This window comes from Homo sapiens, chromosome 12 (assembly GCF_000001405.40).
Source record: "Homo sapiens chromosome 12, GRCh38.p14 Primary Assembly".
Lineage (NCBI taxonomy): Eukaryota > Metazoa > Chordata > Mammalia > Primates > Hominidae > Homo > Homo sapiens.
Genome location: NC_000012.12, coordinates 132,540,393 through 132,551,492, shown reverse-complemented (window position 1 = coordinate 132,551,492; position 11,100 = coordinate 132,540,393). Strand labels below are relative to the sequence as shown.

At 63.4% G+C, this 11,100-nt stretch overlaps 1 protein-coding gene across 21 annotated transcripts in view, besides 1 other annotated feature; it reads right to left on the bottom strand.

Annotated features, from left to right (window-relative positions):
* Positions 1-11,100, bottom strand: part of FBRSL1 (fibrosin like 1) — a 95,038-nt gene that overhangs the window by 33,696 nt on the left and 50,242 nt on the right. For 20 of the 21 annotated variants that reach the window (XM_011534812.3, XM_011534807.4, XM_005266176.5 and 17 more), the window contains one exon: positions 3,461-3,490. In XM_011534812.3, the coding sequence (XP_011533114.1) occupies positions 3,461-3,490 (30 nt within the window). Of the gene's footprint in view, positions 1-3,460; positions 3,491-7,863; positions 8,319-11,100 lie in introns of those variants that run through there. The other variant, NM_001382743.1, reaches the window with a different exon arrangement.
* Positions 588-801: a silencer, noted in NCBI's record as "fragment chr12:133127278-133127491 (GRCh37/hg19 assembly coordinates)". NCBI's record gives its function as "represses an EF-1alpha promoter that drives an FKBP-Casp9 reporter gene in an ReSE screen in K562 erythroleukemia cells {active_cell/tissue: K562}" and the evidence as "EXISTENCE:reporter gene assay evidence [ECO:0000049][PMID:32094911]".

Genomic DNA, 11,100 nt, shown 5'->3' with positions numbered 1-11,100 from the left:
CCACCACTCCGTCCAGAAGGCTTCCTCGGGGTGCACTGCCACCTGCCCCGGCATCCGCTTCTGCGGGCAGGGCTGTTCCCTGCACGGCTGCTGGGTCAGCGCCCACAGACCCCACGCAGGACGCTGTCTGTGGCTTCTCCATCTTCTGCCCACCGGGAGCAGCCAGGCCATGTGAGCAATGGGCCTCCCAGGTCTGAGTGAGGTCTCTGAGGGTCCCTGTAAATGTGGGCACTCGGGGACCTTCCTTCCATATCCAGTTCACAGACGGGTTCCACACAAGCCCGGGGCTGCTGAGGGGCTCTGGGCACTGCTGATGCGAAGCACCCCCATGTTCCTGTCTCAGAGCCGGGAATTCTGCCATCTGGAGCCTGCAGGGCTCTGTCCCTCCTGCCTGCTCCCTGGCAGGGGTGCCGGCCTCGCACAGCAGTGCCCAGGGACAGAGATCTGGGTGCCTCTGCTCCCAGCGGGTAGGGAGGAGGGCTGGGGACGGCCAGTGGGGTGCTGGCTGACTTCCCACACCTGCCTACGCCTCTGTGTGCGTCTGGATGGGCTCCACGCACACCCTCCGCCCAGCGTAAGTTCCTGACCCCCTGAACCCAGCGCCGGGCAGAGAAGACCAGGAGGGACCTGAGGCCTCCTGCCCTCCCAACTCTCCCAAACTCAGGAAGCTAATTTCTGAGCATCAGGGGCTGGATGCCATGGGGAAACGGAGACGTCTGGACGGGGGAGTCCTACGGTGCAGCATCCCATGCACTCGGAGGGAAACGGAAACTCCTGCTGCCGGCTCTGGGCTCCTCTCTCTCGCTCCGCTGCAGCCCAGGATGCACTGCCGGCTCCCAGAACGCACCAGGGTCGTCCCCACCTCTGGCTTAGCTGTCTTGAGTCAGCCTGGGACACACCCCTCAGAGCATGCCCCAAGGTCACACAGACGGACAGGCTGACGGGCCAACAAGGAGAGGCCCCTGCAGTTTTCCTGGCCCACCCTGCTGCTCTCCCCGAGCAGCCTCCGGGAGCTGCCCCCCAACAGAAGCAAACGGGGCCACAGGCAGGTCCCACCCACTCTGCCAGCACCGTGCCCCCGCTTTGTGCGCCGGCGCTCAGACCTTGCCGCAGCCAGAAGGAGCCACCATCACGGGGACTCAGTGTTTGGCGGAGCTGCCTTCTCCGTCCCCGCCCCGCCAGGCCTCTCTGCTCTCCCCAGAGTGGGCGTGACCCGAAGTTCTGCCCTGGAGAAAGGCTGGCAGCCCCTCTCCGCTCCCCTGCCGTCCTCCGCAGCCCCTCTCCCTCCCCTGCTGTCCTCCTCAGGACCTGTGGCCACCACAGCCCTAGAAGCCCCAACACGGCCCCAACGGCACGGAATGCCAAACTCGCCCTGCCGGGACCCTCTGTGTGCAGGAATGCCAAACTCTCCCTGCCGGGACCCTCCGTGTGCAGGAATGCCAAACTCGCCCTGCCGGGACCCTCCGTGTGCAGAGCCCTGGACTGGACTCAGCCTCCCCGACACCGCCCAGAGCTGGTCATCTCCCCTGGGGCTGCTTGGGCGTCTCAGAAATAAACGCCCCAGTGTGCAGACTCCACCTGACCCCATTCTAGAACCCTCTTTCAGCCTGTGCTCTCCCATGGACCCCTCGGCCTCCAGCCCAGGCCCGGGCAGGGGCCGCATCTCTGCAGGCACAGCCTGCACAGACATCGTTTGGGTCTCGGAGGCTGGCGTTACCCTTGGTTGCTGGACATGGGGGGCGTGCAGTTATGGGGGCGGCTGTCAGCCTTCCCCGCCGGCATCGCCGACTCCACGTGGACCTGGCCTCCGGGGCCACAGGTGGCTTTGCCTCATCTCGGTAAGGCAGGCGGGGAGGGGAGAGGGAGCCCCCAGTAGGCCCCAGGCTCCCGAAATCCCCTCCTTCCTGCCTCTCTCAGAGCAACCCTTGGTTGTGGAGGGTGTCTTCCCCAAAAACTGCTTTTAAATGAAAGGAGGTGGGGAGGGGGTGAGTGGCTATTTCCTGGGTGCCCGTGACCTCATTTCATTCCTGAGATCAGGACAAGGTTACTCATCTGAAATGTTAGGCCCGTCACGGTTCGGGCGCGGAAGCTGTGGGCAGGGGCTGAGGGCCACGCGGAGCCACGCGGGGTCCCGGGTGAGGCCACTCCTATGGGCTTTGTGACCACCAGGACGCGTCCCCAACAGTGTCCATCTGCGGACGGGCGAGGAGAGGTGTGTTGGGCAGGGACATCGTGGCTGGAAGCAGCCCAGGATGCTGGAGCCCCAGACACGGCTGAGCCCGGCACTGCGGCCCACACGGCGCCTGCCCCAGACCCCAGGCCGCGGCGACGGTGCGGCCTCTGGCTTCCACGGCGACTTACCTTGACTTCTTGGTACGTCGAAAACTGAACCGCCCAGACCCTCCTCCCCCGGCCACCGCCACTGACTCCAATATCTGGACCCCCACCGGGCCCTCAGCTGTGAGACCCCACAGCCCAGACAGCTCCTGCCAGGCCACGGGCCACAGTGGGCGTCCCCTAACCCCTGTGCAGACCCCTCATGGAACTGTTCCATTCATAAAAACCTGCCTGGAAACCCAGGGCAGCGTCTCCCTGGCTCAGGGCGAGAATCGTCGCACACATGCAGTCCGCCTCGGGCCTCTGCAGGGCCGTCCCTGAGGCCGGGGTGACCATTCCCCTGGCACATCTGGCAGGGCCCTCACCCCCGTCCAGGTGCCCCCGGGTAGCCCTTGGCAGTCACAGGGAGACAGTGAGGTGCAGTGGTTACGGGCCGGGACCTCACGCCACCTGCCTGGCCTCCTCGCCCTCCGGGGCCTGATGCTCCTCGGCCACAGCAGGTGACGGTTCCTCCCCGCAGGGCTCTGGGGCAAGCGGGGCAGAAGGAGAGCCCCCCCGGAGGCTGCTCCGAGGCTGAGGGGACGTGGCTCAGGGGCTGCCCGGGGGGTTCACTCCTGGCTGAGGCTGCAGGAATCCTGCTTGCTCCTGAGCACTGAGGGTGACTGTGATGTGGTCATAGGCTGCGCATCTACCTCCTGGTTCTGGGGTCCACCGGGTTTAGGGTGGGGGCTGGGCTCTGCCCCTGCTCCCTCAGGACTGATGGGGCCAGTCCTGGGGCACAGGCCCAGCTGCCCTCTGCTGCCCAGGAGCTGGAGCTGATGTGCTCGACCCCATGGCAGCCCTGCCCAGGGCACCCTCCTGGCTGGGGCAGCACTGATGCCCACCTGGGCCTGTGTCCCTCCAGACACGGTACCGGCCCCAGCCCTGGACAGGCTCTTCCACAGCCAGGAGAGGCCAGCACCCCCATACCTGGGAGGCCACAAGCCCCCTGCACCCACCGGGCGGGGGGATCCCCCCAAGGCCCGATCTTCTGCCTGGTCTCCAGGGCCCACCTCACAGGGCCAAGGTCAGCAGGGAAGGGCAGGGCTGTCAGCCGAGCCCAGGAGGAGGACGCTGGGCTTACCTTGTCGTCCGGGCCGCTCTCGCTGTCACACTGCAGGGACAGAGAGACAGAAGTGAGTCGGGGCCCCACCAACCAGTGTCACCCCCCGGGGCACGGCAGCAGCCAGGCTGCAGGGGCACGGGTGGGGCGGCCCTGGCTGCTGCCAGGAGAGGGAGGTACCAGCAGGCCCAGGTGGTCGGGGCGGTTAGGAGGAACCTGGGCCAGGGCCCAGTGCTGCACCAGACAGACCTGGATCACAGCCCCCCGGGTGGGATGGACAAAGGGGCACAGCCAGGCCGACTAGCCAGCGATGGGGACAAGACTGGCCCTGCAGCCCGAGAGGAGCCCTCACTGGCCAGACCCTCAGAGCAGGGCGGCCATGAAGACCCCCATCCTGGGCCAGCCAGAGCCTTCCTCACACCAGGAAGGAGGGCAGCCTCCGGCCCAGGACAGCCCCACTGTCCCCAGTGACCCCCTGAGGGGATCGATGGCACCACATGGGCTGGGAGATCCAGGCACCCCAGCTCCTGATGGTGGGCAGAGCCTGGGAGCCCCTGGGGTCAGGACAGCCGGGGGCAGAGGAGGGGCTGGCAGCGCACGGAGGGCCACGGCCGCTCAGGGTTAGACACTCGATGCCAGCGCCATTTGTCAGCTTGGCTGGTTAGGGTGGGGGTGTGATAATCCCGAAAACAAATCCGTTCTCCGTTTTCAGTAGGCAGAGCCCTACAAAGAACACACTGACTGTCCGTTCTCCGTTTTCAGTAAGCAGAGCCCTACGAAGAACACACTGACTGTCCGTTCTCCGTTTTCAGTAAGCAGAGCCCTACGAAGAACACACTGACTGTCCGTTCTCCGTTTTCAGTAAGCAGAGCCCTACGAAGAACACACTGACTGTCCGTTCTCCGTTTTCAGTAAGCAGAGCTCTACGAAGAACACACTGACTGCAATGTCCCCCGAAACAGTCAAAAGGGGAAAAATCCCCTCCTGGCAACTGCAATTATGAGGCATTCACGTCGAATGAATGACCTGGTGGAAGAATAAACCCCCCAGTGCACGGAGGGTGGTGAGTGCCAGCCGGATGTGTGGGCGGCGCCCTCCTATGTGGAGCCCACTGGGTTAATGCAGGGAACCAAACGCACAGCCACCCTCCATGTGCAGCCGCGGCTGCCGAGTGTTCAGCGACGGAGCTCACAGTACGGTGTGAAATGCGCTTTAGCAGACACTCTGCAGCGAGAACGTGCTGCTCCCAGCGCATGACGAGTCACACTCCAGGTGGCTCCTACAAGTGGGACCCCAGCTGGGACCCCTGGGGAAGCTGGGCAGCTGGGGTGGGCCTGTGGGGGGGGTCTCCTGAGGCTGACAGGCTCCCCCAGGCTGTCTGTCCCGGCTGTGTGCTGGTCCCCCCTGGTCTGGCCTTTCAGCCGTGGCCAAGCCCTCTCCTAGGGTCCCCCCCGGTCTGGCCTTTCAGCCGTGGCCAAGCCCTCTCCTAGGGTCCCCCCGGTCTGGCCTTTCAGCCGTGGCCAAGCCCTCTCCTAGGGTCCCCCCGGTCTGGCCTTTCAGCCGTGGCCAAGCCCTCTCCTAGGGTTCCCCCGGTCTGGCCTTCAGGGTGAGAGGTAGAGAAGGGCCTCAGTCCCACCTGCACCCGCCCAGCCCGGCCCACCACACAAGAACTGAGGGCTCCAAGTCAGAACCGGGCCCATCCCGCCCCGGAGGCTGCAGGTGCGGAGCTCACCAAGGGCTGGGCCACAGGACCCCGACATGCAGACCAGCTTTGCTGGTGGCCCTGGGCCTCTGAGTCCTCCATCTCCCCTGCTGTGATATGGGCGGGCCTTGGTGTTTGGTGAGGAAAGTATGAAATGGAACTGCCCAGGCTCAGCCAGGAGCAAAGGAAGCAAAGACCAGGACGTGGGGCAGGGGAAAGCCACAAGCTCCTGCGGGGAGCGCAGGGGAGGGGAGGAACATGCCAGAACACGCCAGGGCTGAGGGGACCGGAAGAGGGCAAAGCAGGAGCCGAGACTGTGCCAAGGATGCCCTCTGCACATGGGGAGCCTGGGGAGGGCCGAGAGGGAGTGCGCCCTGGAGGTGGGACAGGAGGCAGCCCCACCAGCATCCAGAGGCCTGCAGGGGAGTCAGGTGCCCTTCTAGCCTCACAGTGGGATTTCTGGGGACCCCCAGTGAGGCCTCTCCCTGCTGAATTTGCGCTGCAGAGCCTTTGACTTGGAAACTGCAATCCCACCAGACTGTCAGGGTTCTGGCCAATCAGGCCTCGAGAGCAGCCTGACACTTGGGGCCACATGGGTGCACCCGTGGCCTGGGGGCCACCTGCCCAGTCCAGCCTCTGCTCTTATCCCCGCACCCAGATCCCTGCTTGAGCCTGGGTTGGCCCCGAGACCCATGGGCCAGAGCCAGCAGCTCCCACAAGCCCGGACCTGGTTACGGATCTCCCCGTGGGTTTCAGGTCTGTGGCTGGACCCAGCCAGGCTGACCACACAGGCGAGGGTTTAATGCATCCAACAGCAAGGAGACACTGAGGGGTGCTTTCCAGCAAGCGCACCAGAGGACGCTGCATGGATCCTCTCATTAACCAAATAGCACGGCACTGTCAGCCAGGCGCAGGCAGGGGCGTGAATGAATTCGTGTTATTAAGTCCTACTGAATTAATGTTTAACTGCAGTGGAGTCGGCATTGAATGAGGCAATTAATCAGGGCGAGGAGAAAAGGAGAGACACATCCACCTCTCGGAAGCTGCCCGAGTGAGGCGACCATTCACGGCGCCGGGGCTGGGCTCGGGGGCTCAGGGAACGTCACCCTGGTGTGGGTTTGTGATAGGCAGGAATGCCTGGGAGCAGAGGACAGACCCCAGGCCCCGAAGGGACATGCTGGGCATGGTCAGGAGGCCAAGACTCAGGCTCCAAAGAAGACGCCCGCTCTGTGCCGCACTGCCCCACACTGGGCGAGGCCCTGAGCTCCGTGCCGCACGGCCCCATGCTGGGCGAGGCCCTGAGCTCTCTGTGTCTCAGTTTGTGCTTCTGTAAATAGGAACAATTTACAGGGTTGTCCCTTACAGCTCATAGGATTACTGTGTGGCTTAAATAAGTGAATATGTGCAAAGCACTAAGGCAGTGCTTGATATATAGTCAGTACATTATACACATGACAGTATCATCACTACCATCACCATCCTCATCACCATCACCCTCATCACCGTCACCATCATCCTCACCACCATTTTCACCATCATCCTCGCCATTGCCACCATCACCATCATCCTCACCATCGCCATCACCGCCATAATCACTATCACCATTGTCACAACCATCACCATCACCATCGTCACCATCCTCACACCACCACCACCAACACCATCCTCATTACCACCACCATGATCATCAGTATCGCCGTCCTCACGTCACCATCCTCAACAGCACTACCATCAGTTATCTTCACCACCATCACTGTCGTTACCATCAGGTCATCGTCCTCACCCTCATCCTCACCACCATCATCACCATCATTGTCTGCCCACAAAGCCAAGAACGAGAAGATGCCATTTACCCTGGCGTAGGTGAAGTCCTGGTCTGGGAGTTTTAGAGTCTCTTAGCCCTGGCAGTGCTCACGCTTGTCTATGACCCTGATGGCCAAGGCTGGAAAGGTGAGCCTTCCTGTAGCCACGAGGAGACCCCGATATCAAGTCTCTCCTTCTCTGCTTGTCCTGAGCTCCAATGGCAGCCAGGAGGCAGCAGCTCCCTGTACCATGGTCTGCCAGCCTACAAGGCCCCTCTGAGTCTGTCGGACCTCACCATCCAATAATGGCCCTCGTGACCACTTCTCAGTACTTGTTGTCTCCACCCACGCCCTCAGTCAGTCTGGTTTTAAGCCGCACCGAGGCTCGGGGCCCCTAGACCACTTAAACCCGGGTGCCTGGGGTGGGGAGTAGCAGCCGGGTGATTCCGGTGATTGGCCGTGGGGGCAGGCTCTGCCCCTGAACCACTGGGCTCTGTTCCTTCCTCCTGCCCAGGGCCCCGGCCCTCACGCCTAAGGTGTGGGGTGGCCAGAGGGAGGCACCCGACAGGGGTTCCAGACCACTCAGCGGCACGAGTCAGAGGCCAGGCGTGAGTCAGGGCTCCCCACCCCAAGCCCGCAGCTCAGCTCCCCCAGGCCCTGGGAAGCTCTATCTGCCCCACCTCCATCCCGGGCTGGGTGTGAGAGCCGCAGTGGGGCTCGGAAGCACAGGCACCGGTTTCGTCCTCCGTGAGAGTGGCTTCCCCAACCACCCCAGGGGCCACTGCGTGTCACTGTTTTCACAGATGTGGCTATGCGGTGGGGATGCTTAGCACCTCCAGGCTCCATTAGCGGCCTTCCCAGACCCTCACCCGTGGGTGGACAACGGCCTTGAGACATGGCTTTTAGAGCCACAAGCTGGGTAGGGGGGCACATGGGCTTGGTCTGGCCTGATTTATTTTTTTAAAATTGGCTGCCAACATTTGAGCACCTGGAGACTTCTCATGAGCACCGATGGCTGCTTCCTGCTGAGAACAGGAAACTGCATCCCCACCTGACAGCTCCCTGTGGGTTCCCAACACCTCCCCCAGCTTCTGGGCCCCAGCCCTGGGGTGTCGAATGCTGGGCACAGCCCAGAGTTAACGTGCACCCTGGAACTCAGTCTGGGGGCGGGTCCTGGCCCCACTGCTTCACGGAGCCCGGCGTGGGCAGGTCCTGGCCCCACTGCTTCGTGGACACTGGACACCGTGGCAAAGGTCTCTTCGTTTCTCCGAGCCTGTTTCCTCATCTGCAGAGACAGTGGCACCTTCATGGGGCTTCTGAGTCGGAGGAGGCAACGTGCGTGGCAGGCTCAGGACAGCAGCCGCTGGCGGCCAGGCTTCATAAATGGGAGCTGCCATCAGTGTCATCTTCACTGTCACTGTCACCACCACTGCCACCAACCCCTCCCCCTTCCCTCATCCCTCAGAGGCATCTGAGCCCACCCCACAGCCAGGCAGTGCACCCTTGCTACCCGAAGAGCCTGGAGGGGGCTTGGCCCCCATCACCCAGGCCTCCCTGCACCCCTTCCAGACCCTGGGCGGCTACGGGTTGGGGTTGGGGCTGCCTGTCAGCCCCACACATGGGGAGACACAAATCAGCAGCACGGCTATTAAGCAGCAAAGAACACATGCCTCCCCTTCCCAGTGCAAGTGTTAATTATGGCTTCGGTGTGCTCAGGGGCCGCCTGATCCCACTGCTCAAACAAAGGCATGAAAAATTCATAAGCAGGGACCCTGCGCTGAGGTTGCTGCTCCCAGGGGTCCCTCAGTGTCTGGCCCCGACCAGGCAGGGTGGGGAGGAGATAGGAGACAGAGGGGCCAAGGGGCTGTCCTGCGGAGGGTCTAGGCCCAGCATTGGGGAAGGGTGCTGGAAACACTGCCAGCCTCTGCTTCCACCTCCCCAGCTTCCCATCCAGGAGAGCTGTCTGGGCCCAGTGGGTGGGAGAGGGGCTGAGGCAGGGCCAGTGAGGGCCGGGTTTCTGCTCTGAGGCACTGCATGAAGGTTCCTGAGCAGAACTACCTGGGGCAGGGGGCCCTGACCCCTCCTCACCAGCAGAAAAAACACCCCAACAACACGGGCGCCTGCACCAACCCGAGGTACCTCTAACAGTGGCAAGGTGTGGGCAGGATGGAGTGGAAAGGCCCAGCCTGAGTGTCGGGTGAGAGGCCGAGCTGCTGGGAACACCGGTGCGGAAGCCCCACCCTGGCTGAGCATGTGTGGCCTGAGTGTGCACATGTGTCCTCCGTGGGGCCCTGTTGAGCCTCGCGTGCCCACCCAGGTGCCCGGGGATACGAGGAGCATCTGCCGTGTGCACATGTGCCGTGGCGCGTCCTGCGTGTGCCAGTTCCTGGCCCCTCCCTGTGCCATCTGGTCATCCTGCCCTTGGTGGCTTCTGCCCTCAGTGTCCTGCCACGTGTCCCAATGTCTGTACGTGGCATGTGGGTGCCTCAGGACCTGCCACAGAGCCACGTGCCGCCGAGTGGGGAAAAGGACCACCTGCGCCACCTGTGCTGGGCCCTCGTGGGGCAGACGGCAGCTTGGCTGCTTCACCTATTCTGTCTGAACCTGCAGCCCAGAAACTCCAGCAACCCGGATGGTTCGGGGTGGTGGGGGGAGCAGCTCTGGAAGGGATGGGGCAGAAGCATGAGTGGCTGTGGGCCCCGTGCCCTGCCCTGTGGGACCCCATCTTCCCAGATGGCAGTGCCAAGGGGCCCACCTTCATTTGGGCCGCACGCTCGGGCGGGATATGCAATGCATTCCAATCAAGCGATTCGGCTGAAATAAGGGACAGGGGCTGGCGTGGCACCGGCAGCCCCCAGGGCTGAGAGCAGCTGGGGAGATTTCGAGTTGAGCTTCACACTGTGTGAAATGTCTCACGATTGGAAAGGTCACTCTCAGCCCCTTTCGGCCGCCTCAGTCCTGTGAATCCGCACCCCTCCACCATGTGGGCTTAGCCCAGGCTCCACTTCCCTTCCCCTGCATGGGCAGAACTGGGCTGCCTGGGGGGGCACCGCCAGGTGGGAGCCACTTGTGCACTCACCCCACGCAGCTGGGCAGCTGTCCCCGGGGTGGGGGGGTGCATGACCTCTGGCGGGGCTGCTGGCCCCTCGTGGGCAGGGGGTTACGGGTGTGGGTGCTGGAGCTGCAGGGCCCAAATCTGGCACTTGAGGGTGAGGCACCTTTGGCCATCCACGGTACTGGCATAGAATGGATGGGTGGGGCCCACTGAGTGGATTTGCACCTGACGTGCCTCAGGGTAGGGGTGTGGTGTGGGGCTGTGCCCCCCAGGCTGACAGTGGATTTGCACCTGACGTGCCTCGGGGTAGGGGTGTGGTGGGAGGCTGTGCCCCCCAGGCTCACAGTGGATTTGCACCTGACATGCCTCGGGGTAGGGATGTGGTGGGAGGCTGTGCCCCCCAGGCTCACAGTGGATTTGCACCTGACGTGCCTCGGGGTAGGGGTGTGGTGTGGGGCTCTGCCCCCCAGGCTCACAGTGGATTTGCACCTGACGTGCCTTGGGGTAGGGGTGTGGTGGGAGGCTGTACCCCCAGTGTCACAGCAGTATCAGCCCATTTCATAGGTGAGGAAGCAGAGGTTCAGAGGGAAATAACTTTCTTCAGCTGTATGGCTACTCAGCAAGGGCCTGGAGCTGAGCCCAGGACTCAGAGCTGGGGATCTGGGGATCTGGGGATCTGGGCTTGTGGGGCCATAGGTGTGGGGCTGGGAGTCCTCCTGCCATCGGGGAGGGGCCCCCCCGGGTGAGGCAGGTGCAGTGAGCAGTGGGCTTGCCCTGGAGCCTGGTTCCAGGTGCTGATGTGTTGAGCCCAGAGCAGGCGCCACACACACCACAGGTGGCTCGGAAGCCCACGGGATGGCTGGCAGTGACAGTGTGTGGTGGGCGGGTCAGGGGGCGTGTGGAGTCCACTGAGAGGGGATGTCTGGCCTCCATTCTGGCAGGGTTGGGTGCAGGAGACAGTGTGGGGCTGGGCTCTGCTGCTGCACCAGGCCAGATGGAGGTGTGCCAGGGACCAGAGTGGGTAGGTGGCCCGGGCCAGGGTGGGTAGGTGGCCGGGACCAGCTGGGCGCACTCTCAGGGTGGCCCACAGGGAATGGGGCCC